This window comes from Homo sapiens, chromosome 7 (genome assembly GCF_000001405.40).
Source record: "Homo sapiens chromosome 7, GRCh38.p14 Primary Assembly".
NCBI lineage: Eukaryota > Metazoa > Chordata > Mammalia > Primates > Hominidae > Homo > Homo sapiens.
Genome location: NC_000007.14, coordinates 66,233,757 through 66,259,207, shown reverse-complemented (window position 1 = coordinate 66,259,207; position 25,451 = coordinate 66,233,757). Strand labels below are relative to the sequence as shown.

The 25,451-nt window shown below is 40.0% G+C and overlaps 1 protein-coding gene across 13 annotated transcripts in view, besides 1 other annotated feature; it reads right to left on the bottom strand.

The window, feature by feature from the left end:
• The window catches only part of TPST1 (tyrosylprotein sulfotransferase 1), a 161,654-nt gene that overhangs the window by 101,236 nt on the left and 34,967 nt on the right, over positions 1–25,451 (bottom strand). For all 13 annotated transcript variants that reach the window (XM_047420959.1, XM_047420957.1, XM_047420960.1 and 10 more), the window contains exon 2: positions 17,938–18,883. In XM_047420959.1, coding sequence (XP_047276915.1) covers positions 17,938–18,782 — 845 coding nt within the window. In that variant the 5' untranslated portion in view covers positions 18,783–18,883. The remainder of the gene's footprint in view (positions 1–17,937; positions 18,884–25,451) is intronic.
• Positions 23,860–24,060: a silencer, noted in NCBI's record as "peak6545 fragment used in MPRA reporter construct". NCBI's record gives its function as "represses an SCP1 promoter by STARR-seq MPRAs in K562 erythroleukemia cells {active_cell/tissue: K562}" and the evidence as "EXISTENCE:reporter gene assay evidence [ECO:0000049][PMID:32103011]".

Here is a 25,451-nt window from a genome sequence, read left to right as displayed (position 1 = left end):
AAAATTATATTTACAAGAAGAGCATTTACCAAGCTAAACAAAAAAAGGAATCCACACCTACTCACAAAATACAGTAATAAAAACAAAATACACAAAAGATAAAGAGCTTAAAGTGGTCAGAGAAATGACATATAACAAAGGCCTGACAATTATTGACAGCAGGTTTTTCAACAGCAACCACTGCAACTAGTGGATGGTGGAATAATATCTTCAAAACACTAAGAGAAAATTATTGCCAACCCAGAATTAAATAAACCAAAAATAACCTGCTAAGAAACTAAGACTTTTTCAAAAAACAAAACAAAAAACCCTGAGAAATATAAAGATCCTTAGAATAAAATTAGAACCATAAGTCCACACTATGCACAAATGTGAGCAGCAAAAACTCTGGGCAAAACCCCTCATTTCAGGCAAAAATAATTGGGAAAGACCACAGTGGTCTAAGGAGCGTAAGAATCATTCTCATTATTTTTAACACTTTTTCTGAGCTCTTCACCCTAAGGGTGGCACCAGCCATACAGAAACGCATCGCAGGCAGCTAAAGCTCTGAAAGAAATCCAAACGTCTGACTAGAATAACAATGAAAGGAGCCTCTGTGAGCCAGAGAGATGTGGGGAATCCAGGAAAAGATGAGCCAGAGAAAGGGTTTCCCGTAATTTTGCACATGAACCAGCACAACTTCTAGCTCACACATAAGAGAGATTCAGGGAAGCACAGCAAAGGCTCTGAGAATAAATTAAAATATAAACTGTTGCCAAAGCTCCAAACTAACTAATAAATGGTCTGTGGATAGGAAAGACCCAAAGTAGCATAGCACAGTCTTTGAACTGATACTGGAAATACTATTCACAGGTGAGAAAACTTGTGGTTTAGAACCTAACCAGCCTGACAGTCTACCAAAACAAAAATAAAATCAGCATTCTTCCAAGGATTTTAACAGGACTTAGAAACACAAAATATAACTCCAAAATTACTCAAATGAGAGCATCAGGAAAATGTGATCCAAAATTGAGGGAAAAGACAATCAAAAGTAATTTGTAAGGGAAGCATAACTATATTAAAAAAAAACAGACATAGAGAGTAAGAAAAGGGAAAATTACAGGTCAGTGTCACTCATGAAATAGATATAAAAATCCTAAGCCAAAAATTAGCATACCAAAGCCAAAAACAAAGCTCAGATGATAAATCATTACCAAGTTGGGTTTTTTCCAGAAATTCAAAGTTAAATAAATATTAGAAAATCTATTAATGTAGCTTATTATATTTGTAGCTTATGATTAAGGAAAGTCAGATGACTCCTTCAATTTGACAAAATACAACCTTTGTGGTGGGCTACTTGGAAAATGGTTCCCAGTAATTCTGTCATACAAAGGGCTCTTTAAAGAAATTAAGGGTGTGCCTAATAGGTCCTCGCGACTCAACAACAGGGGCTCTAGGAAACTTAAGAACATTGTCCCTCAGCCATCTGAGAAAGATCACAAAGTAAAGAAGGGTGTACCTTAGATTCGTGGGTGTGACTATTACCCAATGGAATGAACACCAGTGAGTTTCACAAAGGACTGACAAAGTTTTTGAGAAAATTATATCAGCAGCAACACTGCCAGGCTGGACCAAAAAAACCCAGAAATAGTATAACACGAAAAGAGGTCACTAGACTCCCAAAATTCTACTGGCAGGAAGCAGACTAATAAAAAACTACACAGCTGCTAACACATGCTACCTTTCATGAAAAAGGAAGAATAACTCAGAGGTGGAATCAAGGAACTTCTAACATCCTGGCTGGATTTCAGAATTGATATGGACTAGTAACACTTCTGTGCCTCCTATTTTCCCTCCTTTAAACAGGAATGTCTATTATCCCATGCCTGTTCCACCCTTGTATACTGGATATAGGGAAGGGAGGATAACTTGTATCTTTAATGTCACATTTCTACAGACTGAATGGAACTGTACACAAGGAACTGTATTTTAAAAACTTTGGCCAGGTGCAGTGGCTCACACCTGTAATCCTAGCACTTTGGGGGGCTGAGCCCAGGAGTTTGAAACCAGCCTGGGCAACATAGCGAAACCCTATCTCCACTAAAAATAAAAAAATTAGCCAGGTGTGGTGGCACACAACTGTAATCCCAGCTACTCAGGAGGCTGGGGCAGGAGGATCACTTGAACCCAGGAGGTTGAGACTGCAGTGAGCCATGACTGCGCCACTGCACTCCAGCCTAGGCAACAGAGTGAGATGCTGTCTCAAGAAAAAAAAGAAACTTCACCCATAAGCCTCACTCACAACTGGACCTGATTTAGATGACAAGATTCTGGACTTTGAGCTGATGCTGTAACAGAATGAGACTTTTGGAGACCTGGAGGAAGGGGCAAATTAAGAGGGCCATATGCAAGAGACATGAGTCATTGGGGGCCACAGGGCAGGCTGGAAGGCTGCTTCTAAAATAGCACCTGATGGTTCCCAACTCCTGATATTCCTACCTTCGTGTAATCCCGTCTACTTGATTTTAGCTGGGCCTAGGAATTTGATTCTCATGAATATGGCAAAAGTGATAGGATGTCACTTCTGAGATAAGGCTGGAAAAGATGTAACTTCCATCTTCTTTACTTTCTCTGGCTCTTCTTGTTTGCCTGCTGCCATGTTAAGTAGCCATATACAGAAACACACAGCAAGAAACTAAGGCCCTCCACCTAAGACAGAGAAGGAACTGAATCTTGCCAAATACCACATGAACTAGGAAATCATTCCTTCCCCAGTCGAGCCCTGATGCAGCCTTGTGAGGGACTCTGAAGCAGAAGATCCAGCTATGCTGTGTCCATATTCCTGACACACAGAAACTTTTATGTTTGTTGTTTTCAGCCACTAAATTCTGGGGTAACTTACTACACAGCAATGGAAAATGAATACAATATCCATTAACTTTGAAAACTCTTAGTGAACTAGAAATAGAAGAGAAATTCTTTAACTTGATAAAAGATATCAACAAAGAGAAAGAAAACTAACAGCATATACCAATAATGTACATTAAAATAAATACAACAAAATTCATTAAACATATTCCCTTTAGAGTGAACTCTGTTCTGGGAAAAAATAAATAAATCATTTTCCTCCATTTCCTACACAAAGGATATTTAGGAGTAACTAAACAGTTGGTATAAGCACAGTCTTCTTTATAGAAAAATATCATTAATGAATACAGAAGGAAATTTTAAATTAGACTACCACCATTTGGCCAGACTTAATAAAATAGTAGGTCTGGGCAATGATTCATCAATGATCACTAAAACCATTAGGTAGAAGACTAAAAAAAACTGTACTGCTTCATGAATCACATTCTTACTTAAATCTAGTTGGTTTTTTTTTTAAGCAGAAGAGAATTTGACAGTACTAAAAGTACAATGACCACTAAGTACAGTTTGGTGCCAGAGCCTTGATTTGTGCTAAGGCATCCACAATTTTCAACTCTTTTGCACTATCAGCACAAATGTCAACAGAATGAAAATTCAAATAACATCTTAGTACCATTGTGAAAATAGTTTTAGCCTTGGAGATCTTCTGGGAGGGTCTGAAGGATTTTTTGGGTATTCTGAAACCATAATTTGGGAACCTCTACTTTAGTGACACACAGAGAAGTATTTACAGATGGAATGATGTGATATCTTGTATTTGTTTTAAAATAATTCAGCAGAAGTTGGGGGAAGGAAAGGAGTTAAATACTGGCCTACAATAGTTAACTGTTGGTATTGGGAATTCTGTTTACCAATTTATTTTTGTGTTTGGAATTCTGCATAATAATAAAATATTGTTTAAGGCATTCCCTTTAAAATACAGTTTCTCAACCTTGGCACAGCTGACATTTGGGGCTGAATAAATTCTTTGTTGTAGTAGCTGTCCTATAATTGCAGGATGTTTAGCAACACCCTGGCCTCTTTCTATTTGAGGCCAGCAGTATCACCTCCACTTCCCCAACTGTGATGACCAAAAAGTCTCCAGACATTGCCAAATGTCCCCTAGGGAACAAACTGTCCCCACTTAAAAACAACTTTTTTTTTTTTTTTTTTTTTGAGACGTTGTCTCGCTCTGTCACCCAGGCTGGAGTGCATGGCATGATCTCCGCTCACTGCAAGCTCCGCCTCCTGGGTTCACTCCATTCTCCTGCCTCAGCCTCCCGAGTAGCTGGGACTACAGGCGCCCGCCACCACGCCCGGCTAATTTTTTGTATTTTTAGTAGAGACGGGGTTTCACCATGTTAGCCAGGATGGTCTCGATCTCCTGACCTAGTGATCCACCCGCCTTGGCCTCCCAAAGTGCTGGGATTACAGGCGTGAGCCACCACGCCTGGCAACAACAACTGTTTTAAAATAAGGTTGCTTACTACTATTAGAAGTCCTAGCCTAGGCAAAACCACAAAACATTAGGAAAGCTGCGGGATATAGATATACAAAAGTCATTTACAATTATATACACCAGCAACTAAAAGAACATTTAAAAACAATACACATATCTGGCTGGGCATGGTGGCTTGTGCCTATAATCCCAACGCTTTGGGAGGCTGAGGCGAGTGCATCACCTGAGTTCAGTAGTTTGAGACCAGCCTGGAAAACATGGCAAAACCCTGTCTCTACTAAAAATACAAAAATTAGCCAGGCTTGGTGGCTCACACTTGCAATCCCAGCGACTCGGGAGGCTGAGGCAGGAGAATCTCCTGAATCCGGGAGGCGGAGGTTGCAGTGAGCTGAGATCGCACCACTGCACTCTACCCTGGGCAACACAGTGAGACTCCATCCCAAAAGAATAAATGAATAACTTAAATAAATAAAAACAATACACATATTTACATTACCAATGAAAAGAAGGTACTGAATAATAAACTTATCAAATAAAGTACAATACTTTTATGAAGAACATTATAAAATACAATACCATCAAAGGATATTGTAGACGACCTAAATAAAAGGAGAGGCCCACTGTATTATGGATAGAATGGCTTAATATTTTAAGAATGGCAATCCTCCCCCAAATTACCTACAGGTTCAATGTAAATTTAGTCTGATTTTTCATGAAATCAGGCAAGTTGATTTTAAAATATATACGGAGGACCAAAGGGTTTAAAAACAGCCTAGACATTCCTAGAGAAGAACTAAGCAGGGAGATTACCCTATTAGATTCTAAGCCATTTTCTTTCTTTCTTTTTTTTTTTTTTTTTTGAAACAGAGTCTCACTCTGTCAACCAGGCTGGAGTGCAGTGGTACAATCTTGGATCACTGCAACTTCTGCCTCCATTCCCTGGGACTAAAGGTGCCCGCTACCATGCCCAGCTAATTTTTATTTTTTGGTAATGATGGCGTTTCACCGTGTTGGCCAGGCTGGGGTATAACTCCTTACCTCAAGTGATCCGCCCACCTCAGCCTCCCAAAGTGCTGGGATTATAGGCATAAGCCACCGCGCCTGGCTAACTCGAAGACATTTTCTAAAACTGCAGTAATTAAAATAGAGTGGTATATGGCATTAGGATAGACTAAGTGAAGAAGGATTTCTTGACTGGGTGCAGTGGCTCATGCCTGTAATCCCAGCACTTTGGGAGGCCAGGGTGGGCGGATCACAAGGTCAGGAGAGAGAGACCATCCTGGTTAACACGGTGAAATCCCGTCTCTACTAAAAATACAAAAAATTAGCCAGGCATGGTGGCACACGCCTGTAGTCCCAGCTACTCGGGAGAATTGAGGCATGAGAATCGCTTGAACCCAGGAGGCGGAGGTTGCAGTGAGCTGAGATCGTGCCACTGCACTCCAGCGTGGGCAACAGAGTGAGACTCTGTCTCAAAAAAAAAAAAAAAAAAGAAAGCGATCTCACTAAAAGAATAATGCATACATGGAAACCTGATGTTTAACCTAGCTGGTACTGCATGTCATTAGGACAATCCCCTAGGTTTCTGGACTCCCCACAAATGCCAAAATCCACAGATGCCCAAATCTCTCATATAAAATGGCACAGTATTTACATATAACCTACATACATCTTCCCTTATACTTTAAATCATCTCTAGATTACTTATAATACCTAACCTAACGATGCCCACACATCACTTCATTCACGTAGATTCAATGTAGTATTCAGCACATGGCAAGCTCAAGTTGTAATTTTGGGAACTCTGTGGAATTTTTCCCCCCTGAATGTTTTTGACCTGAGGTTAGTTGAATCTATGGATGTGGAACCCATGGATCCAAAGTACTGACTGTATTTCCATAGATGGTTCCGGGAAACTGGTCATCTTTATAGAAAAAATATGAAAATGAATCTGCACCTCACACAAGAAAATAAATTCCATATTGATTAATAAATTCCAGATTAACATGAAAAGAAATTTGTTTTAAGTTTTGGAAAAAACATGGGAAACTATTTTTATGACCTCAGAGTATGGAAGAATTTTTTTACAAAAAATTCTAAAGAAAAAGATTGGTAAATACAAGTTTAAAACTTAAATTCATCAAAAGATTTTTCTTATTTTTCTTAATTCTGTTAAAGTGAGGTCATTGACAAAAAAGATATTAAAAAGGAAGTTAAAAGATAAGCTACTGGCCGGGCACGGTGGCTCACGCCTGTAATCCCAGCACTTTGGGAGGCCGAGGTGGGCGGATCACAAGGTCAGGAGATCGAGATCATCCTGGCTAACACCCCGTCTCTACTAAAAATACAAAAAATTAGCCGGGCATGGTGGTGGGCGCCTGCAGTCCCTGCTACTTGGGAGACTGAGGCAGGAGAATGGTGTGAGCTTGCAGTGGGCAGAGATCGCGCCACTGCACTCCAGCCTGGGCGACAGAGCGAGACTCCGTCTCAAAAAAAAAAAAAAAAGGCTGGGCGCGGTGGCTCAAGCCTGTAATCCCAGCACTTTGGGAGGCCGAGGCGGGTAGATCACGAGGTCAGGAGATCGAGACCATCCTGATTAACACAGTGAAACCCTGTCTCTACTAAAAAATACAAAAAAATAGCCGGGTGTGGTGGCAGGCGCCTGTAGTCCCAGCTACTTGGGAGGCTGAGGCAGGAGAATGGCGTGAACCCGGGAGGCGGAGCTTGCAGTGAGCCGAGATCGCACCACTGCACTCTAGCCTGGGCGACAGAGCGAGACTCCATCTCAAAAAACAAAAAAGAAAAACAAGTGGAATATGCATACTGCTCATAATCCAGCTATTCTAATCCAAAGTGTATATCTTAGAGAAACTCTTGAAGGAAACACCTTCAAAAATGTCCTTAGCTCCAAACTAAAAACAATCCAAATGTTCATCAATAGTAAAAATGTATAAATAATCTATATTATACCAGAGAATAGTATTTTGGCAATTAAAACTGATGATATAGCTATATACCACAACACAGGTAAATCTCAAAAGAAAATGTTAGGCCAGAGAAAAAAAAAAAGAACCTGACCGAAAAAAACACAGACCATGATCCCATTTATATAAAGTTTACCAACAGGCAAACTAAACAAAGAAACAAAGGAAAAAGGGAAAACATGACAATGAAATATCAAAGGTCACCTCCAAGTAGTTTCAGAGATTATTGTTACTGTAATGCCAGCATTCCCAACCTGCCATGTTAGTTTCCTACTAGAGCTATTCAAATCGGGTGCTTACTTTGCTTCATTGAGACAAACATTTCATGACTTCAAGACTACCTTTGCCCTAAACAAGCTTACAGGAGCATGTGTAAGAACATTAACAAAAGCCTGTGGTGCACTTGCTACTAACCTAGGTGTTTCACACTCATTATTTTGGGATGGGGAGAGGGAGGGGAACAGTGCATAAGCGTTCGACAATAAAAATAACATACTAATAAGTACCACTTTGAACAATTTCTATGTGCCAGGTGCTATTCTAAAGGCTTTGTAGTAATTTAATTCTCACAACTCTATAAATACTACTTACCATCATCTGCAATCGGTATTATTATCATCCTTATTATTATAATAATAAAGACAACAGGTAACATTTTCAACCTCTCATTATATACCAGGCACTTGGCTAAGGGCTTTATAGTCATTCTAACTAAATCCTCACGACAACCCTATGGATAGTTATTATTATCATCCTTAATGGATACTATTTCAGTAAGCCTTTATCCACAGTTTCAGGTAGTTCTCTGCAGTCAACTGTGGTCTGAAAACATTAAATGGGAAACTCCAGAAATAAACAACTCATAAGTTTTAAATTGCATGTCATTCTCAGTAGCATGATGAAATCTAACATTGTCTCACTCTGTCTAGACTGGGATGTAAATCATCCCTTTGTTCAACACGTCCATGCAATGTACACTCACTACCCACCATTAGTCACTTAGTAGCCCTCTGTTATCAGATGGACTGTAGCAGTATCGCAGTGCTTACGTTGAAGTAACTCTTGTTTAACTTAATCATGGCCATAAAGCTCAAAAGTAGTAATACTGGCATATTGTTATAATTGTTCTACTTTATAATTAGTTACTGCTGTTAATCTTACTGTGCTTGATTTATAAATTAACCACAGGTATATATGCACAGGAAAAAACATAGTATATATAGGGCTCGGTACCATCAGTGGGGTTTCGGGCATCCACTGGGGTCTTGGAACATATCATCTGCAGATAAGGGGGATCTAACATATTATCATTCCCATTTCCAGGATAAGAAAACTAAAGGAAAGATGAGATAACCAAGACTAGACAAAACCAAATAACTCACTCAAGGTCACATAATCAATAAAGGACAGTGCTAGGATTTGAACCTATGTCTGTCTGACTCTAAAACGTGTGCTTAGCCACTGTCACACTGTTTTAGTTTGTCTTCATAAATGCTGTAAGTATATACAACAAGAGCTAAAAGTATAGATGAAGACAAAGACCTGAGTCCACAGCCTGGCTCTACCATCTTCCAACTGTGGGACGGAGGACAAGCTCCTCAACTTCTGGGAGCCTCAAGTCCCTCATCTATAAAATTAAGATGTTTAAGGCACCTATGGGTGAGTGTGAAAGGGTAAATATAAAAACTAAATGAGATAAGGCACACAGAGAGCTCAGCATACTGCCTGGCACATAACAAATGTTCAGTAGATGTTGGATGGTATCATTACCATCATCACCATCTTCCCTGTTTTATAGATAAGAAAATGGAGACACGGAGAGAGATAGTATTTGATGCAATGTTACAAAACCAGTTAGTGTCAATGAAAGACTTTAAACAAAGTCTAGCCAGCTTCAAAGTATCAACCCTTTTCCATTTGCCAAGTGTCTCATGAAAGCATAGGAAGTACATCCCAGACAGAGGGGGGCCTTGGAGAGATCTTCCTTAGGGAAAGGAAACCTGAACTAAATCTTGAAATACAACCATGAGTTGGTCAGATGAAGAAATGAAGTGAGAGAAAGGTGTTGCAGGCACAGGAAACAACACATTCAAAGGAACTGATTAAATAAATGGTGTGGCAATAATTGTAGCTACAATTATTTCAGTGTGGCTGCAGCCCAGGCTGTAGGGGCAAGAAAGTCTGAGTCCACAAATGAAGCAAACAAAACGTAGCATGATTTTAAGCAGTGGTTCTCAAAGTGAAATCAGGCCAGGAACATTAGCATCACCGGGAAACCTGTTAGAAGCGCAAGTTCTTGGGCCTATCCCAGACCTCCTGAATCAGAAATTTTAGGTCTTTTAAAGGTTCTGTATGTGATTGTGATGAATGGTTGATGTTTGAAAACATGATTTTCAGCAATGAGGAAATGTAAGGATGTTTTCAAAAACAATGAAATAATTCTTCATTAGACAGGTAATTCAGAAAAGGACCAAGGAGGAACCATGAATTCATGTATAATATCTGGATGGGTACCAACCATAATTCCCTTGATGTGCTTGGCTTTTCTTTGACAGTAGTTAATCAATGTAATAGGTTACTCTACTTAAAGATCCAATTTGCCCTACACTTCATCTTGGCAAAATACTCTGAACTAGGCTTACATTTTAAATCTTAAAAAAAAAAAAGAATTTTTTTAAAAAAAACAGGAATCTTCTAAGTTTTATACCTCATTATGGACTGAATGTTTGTGTCCCCCCAAATTCATGTTAAAACCTAATCACCAATGTGACTGTATTAGGAGATGGGAACTTGGGAAGTGTCCTTATTAGTGCACTTACAAAAGAGGCCAGGGAGAGATTCTTCACCTCCTTTACCATGTGAGGACACAAGGTGCCATCTATGAACCAGACAGCAGGCCCTTACTAGATGCTGAATCCATCAGTGCCTGATCTTGGACATCCCAGCCTCCAAAACTGCGAGAAATCAACTTCTGTGTTTGTAAGAACCCAGTTTGTGGTATTTTGTTATAGCAGCCCAAATGGACTAAGACATACCCTAAAATGCCTATTAAAACTAAATGTTTTGAGCCAGGCACGGTGGCTCACGCCTATAATCCCAGCACTTTGGGAGGCCGAGGCAGGCGGATCATGAGGTCAGGAGATCAAGGCCATCCTGGCTAACATGGTGAAACCCCATCTCTATTAAAAACACACACACAAAAAAAAAATTAGCTGGGTGTGGTGGCACGCACCTGCAATCCCAGCTACTCAGGAAGCTGAGGCAGAAGAGTCACTTGAACTCGTGAGGCAGAGGTTGCAGTGAGCCGAGATCATGCCATTGCACTCCAGCCCAGAAGACAGTGCGAGACTCTGTCTCAAAAAAAAAAAAAAAAAACACTAAATGTTTTTATAAACCAATATAATCCCAATTAAAAGTGTATCAGTTTTGTAAATTTTACACATTACAATCAATGTTTTTCTTTTAAAAACAAAATTGTAGTTTTGCAATTCCATGAGCTTCACTTCAGTTTTCTTTGTTAAATCCAACCAAAATTAAATGCTGCCTAAAGGAGGGCCACTTCACTTCCAAGTACATCATCTACCAAGGTTCCGAACAAGATTTCACTTGAAAAAAAGGGTGCTCCACTAATAAGAGAAGTCTGAAGGCAACTGGCTTAAAATTCAATATCTTTAGCTTAAAATATAAGGCCCTCCAAAGCCTGGTCCGCATCATTTCTCTCAAACCTTGTTTCACACTACTTCCTGCCTGGAAATGAACTCTCTAGCAAAAAACACCACATTGTTACTCATCTTTGTTAAGGTGTTCATATTGTAACTTCTCAATGATTATTTCCTGATTTGGTTTTGTTTTACTTATTTTTCAAAAATATATTTTTCAAAAATATATTCACCTATGGGAAACAAACACCATGTTCTAGGTCCAGGTGGGACTAAGCTTAGCTGACTTCCATTATATGGTCAAGAGGGTAGGGTCCATAGGTCAGGCATAACAGGGCGTAGTTGTTCCTTAGGTCCTTTTGAGGCCCTGGGTTGGGCCAGGAGTGAAGCCACAAGGAGTCCTCCATACTACCTCTTCCCTTTGAATTCTGTAAACCACAGTTAGGCACAGGCTTCTCCCAGGAGTAACATTTCTTGGGTGGCTCATTGGCTAAGGAAAAGGAAAGACATTCTGGACAGTCAAGGAAGAACTACAGCGCCTTAACCATGGGTCACCCAGGGAGCACAATATTCCCTAAGTCAAAACTAAATGCGCTTCCCTTTATCTGTTGATCATCTTGGATGGCTGCCACAACAAATAATTATCTGACTAAAATGTCATACCAAGCTTGAGGAAACCCTTCTTTAGGGCTCAGTTTCATGACACATTGCCCAAGATGACCTCTCTGAACACCTCAGACTGGGTTAGGCACCTCTCCTTGGTTTTCCATAGTTCTTTGTTGTTGTTGTTGTTGTTCAGAGTTTTGCTCTGTCACCCAGGCTGGAGTGCAGTGGCACGACCTCAGCTCACTGGAACCTCCACCTCCCAGGTTCAAGTGATTCTCCTGCCTCAGCCTCCCGAGTAGCTGGGTTTACAGGCATGGGCCACCACCCCTGGCTAATTTTTGTATTTTTAGTAGAGATGGGGTTTCACCATGTTGGTCAGGCTGGTCTTGAACTACTGCCCTCAGGTGATCTGCCCACCCCAGCCTCCCAAAGTGCTGGGATTACAGGTGTGAGCCACTGTGCCTGGCCTCTTTTTGTTTGTTTTTAATTATTCACCAATGAAGAAGCAGTGGTGACCATAGTTCTTAACCCTGCATTATATATGAATCTAAGTCTTCTATTAGATCATATGTTCCTTTAAGGCAAAGACCTTTTATCTCAAGGAGCTAACACAGTGTCTGGCACATAGTAGGTGCTCAATAATGTAGCAGAGACTACTATCTGCCTATCCCAATATCCAATTGATTTTTCTTAGTAAAAGGAACCCCAGTTATGGCCAGTGAAAAGCAAGAAGTACTACCTGGAAGCTTCTAAGAAATATCCTCAAAAAATACTAAACGCCATTTGTTTTACACACATCCACCCCTGCTGTGCTGCTTAGAATGTAGATGAAATGACTGGCGCTCCAACTTGGATCCTGGGGATGATGGAGACAAAAGCTGGAAGCAGCCTAAATGCCAGATGACTGCAAAGCTGACAAAGCAGCCCTGGTCTGCCTTCTACATAGTAGTCATTATTTGGAAATCTTTGTTATTTTGGATCTCTACTATTTGTAGAGAAATCTAATCAAACTAATAAATGATCTGATATCCAACTTCTAATTTTTGCTACCAATTGCTATATTCTCCAAGAAAAGTACAAATGTTGCCTTATTAATTCATGTTCTGGTTCTGCTTCTTCTCAATCTTTCCCTGACACACTTTGAAATGCAATGTTTCATCAGCTCTCTGATTTCCTTTCACAGCCCATTTTACTCTGTCACTTGTATCCCTTGTTTATTCAATTCCTCCTCTCCAGCTAAGATGTCTCAGTCACTTCTCTCTTCAATATAGCTTGTAAAAGGAGGCTGGGCATGGCAGCTCACAGCGGTAATCCCAGCACTTTGGGAGGCCATGGCAGGAAGACTGCTTGAGGCCAGGAGTTCGAATCCAGCCTGGGTAACACATAGTGAGACCCTGTCTCCACCAAAAAAAAAAAAAAAAAAAAAAAAAAAAATTAGCCAGGCATGATGGCATGCACCTGTAATCCCAGCTACTAACAGGAAGCTAAGGTGGGAAGATCATTTGAACCCAGGAGTTCAAGGCTGCAGTGAGCTACAATCTTGCCACTATACTCCAGCCTGGGTGATGGAGCAAGACCCTGTCTCCAAAAAAAAAACCAAAAAAGACACAACCCCAATAGCCCAATAGCATCCTTAGGCAGTGCCTTCACAAAGGAGAAGTTTTCACAAATAAACAGACTTGTTCTCTGATAGCTTCATGAAAACAAAAACAAAAACAAAACACCACATGTAATATTTATAAAATTCTTCTGGGATATTTCAGACTGAGCTAGTAGAGCTCAGGTGATCCTAATTTGCCTGCTGTTAATTTTCCATGCTATTAATGCTCATATCTTTGTGAATATGGTCTGTCATTCTCTTCACTTGCTCAAAATATTCTTGTTATCCTTAAATTTCAGAAGAATTTCAAGTGGCTATTGAGTTATCTTTCTGTTAATCCCATAAGACATAAGAATTTTAAGTTTCCAAACTGACAAAGATTCTTTGTGTGACCAAACTTCAGTCAGGCTCCTGAACCTTCTCCTAGGACCATCTGTGCACTTCTTTATAAAATCCAGTTTTAGCAAAGAACCCTGCTAAGGCAGTTTAGCAAGAACCTCCTACCCTTGATATCTAATCACTCTCAGGATCTGATCGGGTTTCTCATCCTCCACCACCCTCCAGGTGATGTCTGATCACCCCGGCCTGTCTTCAGTGAGAATCCTATCAGGTAAATTTAGCCAGAATGCCCCTGACCCCTGATGTTTCCTCGTAGTAATTTTCCATCCACTGACCCTCACCTTACTCTCTGGCTACAAATTCTCACTTGCCCATGCTGTATTCAGAGTTAAGTCCAATCTCTATTCCCCACTGCAAGACCCGACTGCAGTGGTCCCTGTACCTCCTGCAGTGGTGCTAAATAAACACTGCCTCATGCCTTAGCAGGTATCACTGAATAATTTTTTCTTTAACAAAACTAAATTTCACTTTCTATATTAAAAAGAAAGTTATGAATTTAATAAATTACTAATTATTCTTCCTACTTCCTCAAAAATGTCTCCATTTCCAAAAACCTTTTTACATTATTTTCACTCATTTATTCAGTCTTTCTTTGCTTTTGATCTGATTTAGAGGATTTTTTGTCTGCTTTACTTATTAGAAGCTGTAGGGTGTCAGTTTTCATGTTCTTATTTGTTCTCTTGTACTTATCACTACTATTATCTTTTTCATTCTAATTTATTTGTGTTTAATAGTTGCTATATTCTCTTTCTGCCCTAAGTGTAGATAAGAACTCGTCTCTGAATTGTAGTTGTGATTCCTGTACTTGTTGTCTAAGCGTCACTGTTACATTAATCTGCTTTTCTGGATTTGCTCTTTTGACCTAGCAAACTTGACTTTTATTTGTTCCACGTAATTTCATGGTATCATAATGAGTTTAATAACAGAAGTAACTGTACGCTCTTGTAACTTCCCAAAAGTTCCCTGATGGAGACAACTAAAATTCCACAAAAAATTCCACAAACCATGAGAAGAGGGCAACGTAAATAGCCTCAAACTTTACTTCTGCTTTCTTTTCAAGATACTTGAGCAGGAGCCTCTGACTTTTCTGTAACTGGAACAGCCCAGAGACGCAAGAGATGCCACCCTGACTGTAAATAACTGGAAATTTCTAAGCAAAGTAAAGGTTAACTCTCAAAAATTAACAAGATAAGAGGCAGAACTGTGAAGGTCTCCTGATATCTCTATTTTCAACAGCTTCTACAAGTATCCCTAGGCCATCTGGTGACATCTTCAAACCTTCAAGGCTGCCTAAATATTTAAGTATTGTAATACTAAGTAATACTGAACTAAGTATTAAAATATTTACTTTAAACAATTTTCGGCCAGGCGCGGTGGCTCACGCCTGTAATCCCAGCACTTTGGGAGGCCGAGGCAGGCAGATCACGAGGTCAGGAGATCGAGACCATCCTGGCTAACATGGCGAAACCCTGTCTCCACTAAAAATAAAAATAAAAAAATTAGCTGGGCGTGGTGGGGGGCACCTATAGTCCCACCTACTCAGGAGGCTGAGGCAGGAGAATGGCGTGAACCTGGGAGGCCGAGCTCGCAGTGAGCCGAGATCATGCCACTGCACTCCAGCCTGGGCGACAGAGCAAGACTCCGTCTCGAAGAAAAAAAAAAAAAAAAAAAAATTTCCCAGAATAAAAATGTTTAAATAAAACGAAAAGCACACAGGATGACTGACTGTGGGCAATAAATTCTTTATTATAATGAACATGGGATATTTACAACTTGGCACTATGTAATAATTTTGTATTTTCTGCCTTATTCCCCAAAAAGCAGTTTTTGAGAGTAGGGATTCAATCTTTAAAAAAGAAGTATGGCTGGCCAGGCATAGTGGCTCACACCTGTAACCCCAGTACTCTGGGAGGCTGAGGTACATGGATTGCCTGAACTCAGGAGTTTGAGACCAGTCTGGCCAACATGGGGCTCTACCAAAAATACAAAAAAAAAAAAAAAAAATTAGCTGGGCATGGTGATGCGTGCCTGTAATCCCAGCTACTCGGGAGGCTGAGATGGGAGGATCACCTGAGCCTGGGAGATGGAGGTTGCAGTGAGCAGAGATCATGCCACTGCACTCCAGCCTGGATGACACAGAGAGACTCCATCTCAAAAACAAAAGAAGGAAATATGGTCTAGTTTAGACTCACCTCAACCAAAGCAGCTCTTGTTTTATATTGGAATTCTGGGTAAGATTTTCTTTCAAAAAGGGGTTCAAATATTATTTTGCTTTTAAGTTTTAAAAAACAATTGTAGCCTACCAGAAAAGACTAAAATACCAAGTGTTGGTAAAGATGTGAGGCAACTAGAACATGTTCATTTACAGTACAGCCATACATGAATGATAGAGACACTTTGGAAAACTGTTAGAAAGTATCTGTTAAACACACACACACACACACAAACACACACACACACACACACACCCCTTGTCATCCAGCAATTCTATTCATTGGTATATACCTAAAAGAAATGAATGCTATATCCACCAAAAGTAATGTACAAGAACGTTCTTAGCAACTTTGATCCATAATAGCCCCAAACTAGAAAGACCCCAAATGCAAAAATCTTGGAATAAGCATGGTAGGTTCTACTCATGATTGTGACATGTTAATTTTTGAAAAAACATAGAGCCTTACAGGGCCTCCATTCCACATACTGAAATGCTAAGTAACATCTCTTTACTTTCTAAAATTCATTAATTCATAATATAATTTCTATGAATTTTCTTGGCCTTTATGTTTACCTTAAACATAGCAAGTATATACACAAAATGTTCTCTTCCTGATTAGCACCAAAATTTAACTTAAGCATATCTCTTTAATCCCTACTGAAGAGGCTGGTGGTCTAATGGCCTCCTTTTATATTAGCAGATGTAGGTGGCATCGGTGCCGGGCCAACATACAAGCACAAAGACTGAAATACCTAATACAGGTGATTAAAAATCAATTATAGTCTATTATCTGGAAATAATAATAAACTGCAATCAGAGTAGCCAGAGCTGAAATTTTCTTTGAATCAATAAAAACAACCTAGAGCCACTACAATGATGGTATGTCATAACTTATAATCAATAATTGAAAGCTTGGTACAGGCAGGCAGCTGTTCCTTTGAGATTATCTACATAAGAAATCTATTTACTATACAAGTTCTATACAGCAAAAAAAAATTAAGCAGATATTCCTTGGTGAAAGTAAGAAGGGCACACAAGGAAAGTATTTTTTACAGGTGTTATATATTACTTTGATAAAAAGTATATATAACACCTTTTATATTTCTTTTTATATATGTATATATAACACCTTATATATTTCTTTTTTACAGGTGTTATATATTACTTTGATAAAAGAAAAAAAACAAAAATAAAATTTAGTTATAGCCAACTCTTCTTCATGAAGAGATGCTACCTGAATTTAATAGTAGTTTCCATTTTTATATCCTCATTCCAGGTATATAAGTCATCAAGACAGGTTAGAGGGTATACTAGTTGTCACTTCATAAGAAAAGAAGCAAAATGCTAAAAATCATCATTTGAGAAGTTTTGAATCCAAGGAACTTCTTGTATGGATTAGGCTTCCAAATTTTGGAGATTCTCTAGCCTTTTGTAAAAAATAAGAGAGGTTATATCCTTCAGATGACAAAGGAAGCACAACACGTAGTAAAATGCCACGGAGAAAAGCACGACCTCATTGAGACCAAGGCACAGATTCGAATTCTGGCCTTGCCATCTAAATCTGAACAAATCGTTTTAATCTTACTGTGACTCAGTCTTCTTGTCCATAAAATGAAGAGATTAGGTTAGACGAAGCTTTTATTTTTCTCTACCACTAAAAATTTCAAAATGCTTATAATTCACTATGTGCTCATTAACATGATATATGCACTTCCTGATTTTAACCTTAATCCACACAAAAGCCAACTATCCTCATTAACAACAATATCTAGAAATTAGAAATCAGAAGCCACTAAAACTGAATGATTGGCATTAAGGTCTGAGACCCTGAAGAAGGCTTTTCACCGCCTGTAAGGTGGGTTTGTATCCATCAAACAAATAAAGAGGGCCACGATATATAAATGAAAAAATGAAGTATAAATAAGTGAACATCTGTAATAAACTAGTAGAGAATTAATAAAAAAAGAAACCTCATCAATGAAGCTGTATCTGTTCCAGAAAAGGTCTTCAGTTTCTATATATACACACAGGAACATACACACATATATACATAAAACACATACATACATATGTATAGATCATTATTAGCTAAATATAGAGTCAAAATAAAAAACGTATCTTCTACTCACTTTGACAGAGACACTCCCCCAGCTTTCCCAATCATCTCTTCATGGTGCAATACTGAGTGGTTCCATGGAATCTGGAGGAACTTTAAGAGTGTTCTCATCCACCGTTCAGGATGTAAGACAAGTTGTTCATAGTGAACCAACATGCACTTTTTATAACCAACCTCCATACACTGGTTATACATGGTCTCTATAGCACGATTCCACTTTGTCAAACAGTCCCTATAGCTGTTCAGATCAAATCCAGCTATAGTAACTTTTCGAGAAATCATTGAATGTACTGATGCCCGGCCATCTCGGACCATCAGGAGAAATTTGGCATTGGGGAATAACCTAGAAAGGTAAGTTAAAGATTTCAGGGCAAAAGGATCTTTATTACATAAATAAGGGGCTGGCTCCCCATGCTTAACGATAATTTCTAGTAAGAAGGCTTGCATGGCAGAATCCAGCACTTCATCAGTAACACCAGCCTCATCCAGGCGGATCTTCTCTTTACTTGACCGTGACCACATCTGCTTCAGGGCCAGGATTCGGGGAATGACCCTGGTTTCCTCTCCACAGCGAATGTCAGGATGTGCGTCCAGCATGGCCCTCATGAGTGTGGTTCCACTCCGAGGCACACCTCCAATAAATATTAAAGGCATATCTTTGTGATAGGCAAAGGTTTTGTTGGCTTTGAGGTCCAGGCCAGTTCTCACAGTGGTCCTTGTGCTCTCCAATTTGACTGGCTGGCTACGTTCCTCTATCCGGTGATGGCATTCCATGGCATGCTGGCCCAGGTAAAACACAGTCACAGAACTAATCACCAGACATGCCAATAGTAAGTTCTGCTTCAGCTTTCCAACCATCTTGATGTGGTTATCTTGTTATTAAACAGATATTTTGCTCAAAATGATTTTCGGAAAATGTTCAGGCCATGGACAGTCTACTTCAGAAAGATAACCAACATCTAGTAGAGAAAGGAAAAGGTTATTTATCATTACATTGAGATTGCTTACAAATCAGTCACCAGTTATCACCACTGCATTTTAGGTAGAAAGAAGCTGAAACAGTCTTGGATTCTTTGATATTCTTAAAACAAAATTGAGACCGGGCGCGGTGGCTCACACCTGTAATCCCAGCACTTTGGGAGGCCGAGGCGGGCGGATCACGAGGTCAGGAGATGGAGACCATCCCGGCCAACACGGTGAAACCCCATCTCTACTAAAAAAAAATACAAAAAAAATTAGCTGGGCATGGTGGCGGGTGCCTGTAGTCCCAGCTACTCGGGAGGCTGAGGCAGGAGAATGGCATGAATCCAGGAGGCAGAGCTTGCAGTGAGCTGAGATCATGCCACTGCACTCCAGCCTAGGCAACAAAGCAAGACTCTGTCTCAAAAAAACAAAACAAAACAAAACAAAACAAAAACAAATGAGTAAAATTTGTTTTACTCAGTATATACAGTATATACAAATTTGAGTAAAAATAAATCAATGTTTATAATCAGAAACAGCTTTTGTTAATGAAGTAATTTTGAAGCTATGTACCTGGTAAAGAATGGAAAATAAATAAAACTATTTCTATCAGTGAGTCAACCAAATATTTAATAAGCCCAAGAATGTCTGGAGTCCAACCCAAGGCTGATCTCTGCTATTCAGACTTGCTTTACCTCCAAGCAGTCATTATCTCCACATTCTAACAATGAGAAATTATAGAAGAAATATGAAACAACTTCCAAATCTTTAACAGAGATTCAGTTTATTATCCCACAATTTATTTAGGTACTACAGACCAGATAGGCTCGACTGAGGACCAACTTTGAAAAGGAAAACAGTATAGTAACTTCTGCTGTTGGAAAACAAAGCCTTTTGACAGACAGATATGTAAACAATAACAATAAAATGTGATGAGTGCCTCCGTGGAAATACGCAAAGGGACAATGGGAGCATAATGAAAAGGAGCATGTAATTGACCTGAGGAAGCTGTAAAAGTTTTACAGAAAGTAGGAAGGAAGGACCAGGTGCAGCAGCTTACGCCTGTAATCACAGCTCTTTGGGAGACCGAGATGGGAGGATCATTTGAGCTCAGGAGTTCGAGACCAGCCCACACTGAGACCCTGTCTCTTTAAGAAAGAAAAGACAGAGGGAGGGATATTCTAAACCAAAGGAACTTGTGTGCAAAAGCACAATGGCAAGACAGAACACAGCATAATTAGGTGACAGGAAGAAGTTTAGGAAAGCTAGTGTATAGGCTGCAAACAAAATTGTATGTATAAGTATCTGTGATCTAATCCTCAGAAGGACAGGTAAGATCTGGACACAGGAAGCACTCCATGCTGCAGGTACACTATGACCAAAGACATGGATGTGCAAAAGCAGAAGCATGTATATGAAACAGCTGGAGCTGCTAGTTTAGCTAGAGCAAGGGTATACAGTGGGAAACAGACAGCAACCAGACTACATGTACACCAAAATAATTTACCCTGAATCCTCAGAAGGCAAGTGTGACAGTTAATTTTATGTGTCAACTTGGCTAGACTTTGGTGTCCAGTTGTTTGATCAAACACCAATCTAGATATGTCTGTGAAGGTATATTTTAGATGTGATTAACACTTAAATCAACAGATTTCTAGTAAAGTGGATTACCCTCCATAATACAGGAAGGCCTCATCTAACAGGTAAAGGCTTTAAGAGCAAAGACTGAGGTTTCCTGGAAAAGAACTACAACATAGAAACCCTGCCTGTGTGTCCAGCCTGCTACCGAGCAGAATCTGGAGTTAAGACTGTGGCAGGCCAGGTCTCACTAACGCAGGCCTCCATAACAACTGTTTCAGTACTGACTGAGTGGTTAAGTTAAATATTAAAAGCTAAAAAAAAAAAAAAAAAAGCCAGTGCTGTTATACAAAGGCTGGAATGTAACAAAAGCGCACCAAGAGTTTTGCCCAGGCCTTTCCTGGGCCTTAAAGCATGACAAAATAACGAAGGAATTCTTAACAGGACCCATTTAGGATTAAACAAGTTTTATTAGGGGTCTGAAGAAACTCCCCAGGCCTCCACAAACAAGTTTATTGGAGGTCTGAAGGAACTCTCCAAATCTCCGTGATTTAGCAGGAGATAAGATAAGGGTAATCACCCCAGAACCTAGACCCACTTAGATGAAGTAAACTTACTGAGGCTCCAGAAGAAGGGCTTCAGGACTCAGACTTTAGTTACAGATTAAAAGAAGTTAATCACTTACATCTTCAGATGAATGCACACTTACATGCAGACATATAGGTTAGAAGGTACATAAGCTCAGAAAAACTTTGTAATTTTAAGTCGGTCTGGTGATAATTTCCAGGCCTCCCTGTAACAGTTACAGAAATAAAAACTCTCTTCCTCCCCAGTTCATCTGCATCTCGTTATTGGGCCACAAGAAACAGCAACCCGACCCTCAGTTTGGTCCGGGAACAAGACTGCAACATCAACTCATCTCTGCCCAACTGCCCTGTGAATTTCAGACTTGAAAGCCCCACAATCGCATAAGTGAATTCCTTAAAATCAGTCTCTTTCTCTCCCTACCCCCGACCCCTCCCCATATACAGAGTGGGCATGCGCGTTACCCACCACTCTAAATTCAGTGAGATCCCTTCCAACCCACTAGCAAAGCAGCCAGTCCTAATGGTTTGCCTTACCCTGACTACTGGTTGTTTTTCTGTAAAACCCTAACACAGGGGTTTGGTTTTGTTTTTCTGGAGAACCCTAAGGATACAGTAAATATACCTGGGGAAATGACTAACTACACTAAAAAATACATTCTGAGAGGGAAGACTTCCAGCTACAGCCTAGTGAGAAGGTAGTTAATTCCTCTCCCCAAAAACCAATGATAAAGCTGGGTGAAATGGGCAAAACAACCCTTTCAGTGCTCTGGAAATCCACCAGAAGAATACAACAACCTGAGAAGCATTTATGCTTGAAAAACTGCTAAAAGGTGGGTAAGAACAATGAGGGTCTGTGTAAGGTTACTCCCACCTCATCTACTCATTCAGTAGGTACAGAGGTTCTGCAAGGCAGAGCAGGGCAAGGCAAACCATTAGGACTGACAGTTCACTGAGTTTGGAGTGGGGAAGAACGCACATGACCACCTGCACTGTCAGAGTAAGTGATGGAGCAGGTGGGAGGCGAGTGAGAGGGTGAACAGCTCTAGAAGGTGGAGGTTGCAGTCTGGGTGGGGCACATTTGTTGGCCAACCCAGAAGTGGCATGCAGGCACAGAGGAGACATGAAAGGACTGGGTGGAAAGTAAAAGACAGCAGATCTGAAAAAGCCTAAACTTTGTATGTGCTCCCTACCCACAGAGATCTACTGGCAGAGGACAAATGCCTTACTGGCTCAAGATGTCTGAGGCAACCACTGTCCAAGCACTGGGTGACCACTGATCACTAAGCTATGCAGACAGGAAGGCAACTCCTAGAAAGCCATGCTTAAAAATGAAAACAATTATAAAGTGTGTGCACACTTGTTTTTAAAAAAGCTTTATTGAAGTGTAATTTATATATAGTATGTGAACTTCCAAAACCTAAGACAGGTATCAGTTAATTTAGAAAGTCTATTTTGCCAAGGTTGGGGAACACGCCTGTGAAACAGCCTCAGGAAGTCCTGATGACCTGTGCCCAAGGTGGTTGAGATACAGCTTGGTTTTATACATTTTAGGGAGACATGAGACATCAATCAATATATGTAAGAAGTACATTGGTTCCGTTTGGAAAGGTGGGACAGCTCAAAGCAAAGGCAGTATATATACATTAAGTATATATACTTAAATAAAGTACATATACCTTACACTATATATACTTCATTAAAGTTGTTTAGATATAAACAATCCTAAAAGTGTGTGTGTGTATATACATATATATATGAGAGCAACATAAGCACACATTTAAATGACAAGGCAAATTTATAGAGACAGAGTGAAAAAGCAGGGATTTAAGTGCAAGCTTACATGAAGGAACTTTTTGCGGTGACTGAACTGTTCTAAAACTGAACTGTTGTCATAGTTGTACAACCCTATAAAATCTACTAAAAAATTATTGAATTACACCCTCATACTTGTGAAAGGAAAATAAATCTTGGGGCCCCCAAATCACTAAGCTAAAGGGAAAAGTCAAGCTGGGAACTGCTTATGGCAAACCTGCCTCCCATTCTATTCAAAGTCATCCCTCTGCTCACTGTCTGTCAAAGTATTTTTCTAGTAATGAATTCCTTTTTTTAAAAAAAAGCTGTATTGAAGTGTAATTTATATATATAGTATGTGAACCTCCAAAGTCTGAGACAGGTATCAGTCTCAGTCAGACAGATAGATGCATATATGATTGCCTCCTTTGGAAAGGCTAATCAGAAACTCAAAAGAATGCAACTGTGCGTCTCTCACCTATCAGTGACCTGGAAGCCCCTTCCCCGCTTCAAGTCTTCCTGCCTTTGCTTCGAGCTGTCCCACCTTTCCAAACGGAACCAATGTACTTCTTACATATATTGATTGATGTCTCATGTCTCCCTAAAATGTATAAAACCAAGCTGTATCTCAACTACCTTGGGCACACGTCATCAGGACTTCCTGAGGCTGCTTCACAGGCGTGTTCCCCAACCTTGGCAAAATAAACTTTCTAAACTAACTGATACCTGTCTCAGATTTTGGAAGTTCACATACTATATATATAAATTACACTTCAATACAGCTTTTTTTTAAAAAAGGAATTCATTACTAGAGAAGTACTTTGACAGTCTCAGTAGAATACACCAACTAAGAACTGGTTCTTATTTATTCATGTGTATACTCTTTTAATCATTCATTCAATATATGTTTGAGCACATAGTTTTGTGCCAGGCACTATATAAAGCTTCAACAAAGAATCACAAAGACTAGGTTGAGATTAAAATATCAGCTTAATAAGAAAAAACTGCAAAGAAAAAAGTATTAAGATAATTGGTGGCAATATAGCATTAAAATGTCTATGCAGGAGAATGGCGTGACGTGAACCCGGGAGGCGGAGCTTGCAGCGAGCCGAGTTCGCGCCATTGTACTCCAGTCTGGGCGACAGAGCAAGACTCTGTCTCAAAAAAAAAAAAAAAAAAATCTATGCAGAACATTGCATCCATTATGTTAAAAGACACACTTAAGATGATATCCTAATGTTCAATTCAAAAGGAGCCAGGTAGAAAGAAAAGGAAACAATGGCAAGAAAAGAGAATAATGTAGAAAACAGAGAAGAGTCGATCCTATTATACAATAACATTTTGGTTAAAGAAAGTAAAACCATATTACAGATTCAAAAAAAGAAAGCTTCCGGCTGGGCGCGGAGGCTCACACCTGTAATCCTAGCACTTTGGGAGGCCAAGGTGGGCAGATCATGAGGTCAGGAGATCGAGACCATCCTTGCTACGGTGAAACCCCATCTCTACTAAAAATACAAAAAATTAGCCAGGCGTGTTGGCGGGCACCTGTAGTCCCAGCTACTGGGGAGGCTGAGGCAGGAGAATGGCATGAACCCGGGAGGTGGAGCTTGCAGTGAGCTGAGATCCTGCCACCGCACTCCGACCTGGGAGACAGAACGAGACTCCGTCTCCAAAAAACAAACAAACAAACAAACAAACAAAACTTCCCTGAATGTAAACAGACACTATAGATGTAAGGATCTATACATCCATAGAGCAAAACAAATGGTAACAGACCCAATCTGGACACATCTTGGCAATTCCAAGCACGAAAAATTCTGCAGGCTTCCAAACAGAAAAAATGAAAAACCCAAACGACCAATAACAAGCTGACATTTGATGGCACTGAAACATTAAATGCTTGTCCTATGGTTTCCGTGTGTGTGTGTGTGTCTGTGTGTGTGTGTGTGTGTGTGTGTGTGTGTAGCCATGCTTTTATTTTTCAAGCTTGCTTTAAAGAACTTGTATGTTGCTTTTCTAACTAGGAAAAGATAAAGCAATATTTTAAAAATAAAAAGAACAGTCTTTCTTTTAAAATGGCATTTAGGCTAAGACCTGAAGAATGAGTAGGAATTAGTGAAGGGAAGAGCATTCCAAGAAAAAGTACGTAGATATGCAAAAGCCATGTAACGGGAAGGCGTTTTAACGCATTCAAGAAGCAGGAAGTAGGCCAGGCATGGTGGCTCACGTTTGTGATCCCAGCACTTTGGGAGGTCAAGGCGGGTGGATCACCTGAGGTCAAGAGTTTGAGACCAGCCTGGCCAAAATGGTGAAACCCTGTCTGTACTAAAAATACAAAAATTAGCCGTGGTGGCACATGCCTGTAATCCCAGCTACTCCGGAGGCTGAGGCAGGAGAATTGTTTGAATCTGGAAGACGAAGGTTGCAGTGAACCAAGATCACGCCACTGCACTCCATGCTGGGTGAGAGAGAGACACTCTTGTCTCAGAAAAAAAAAGAAGCAGGAAGTAGGCCAATGAAGCTGCAAGGCAGTGACCAAGAGGGAAAGTGGGTGAAAGGTCAAACTGGGCAGAGGTCAGATCACAAATCTTGTAGGTCAAGTTAAAGA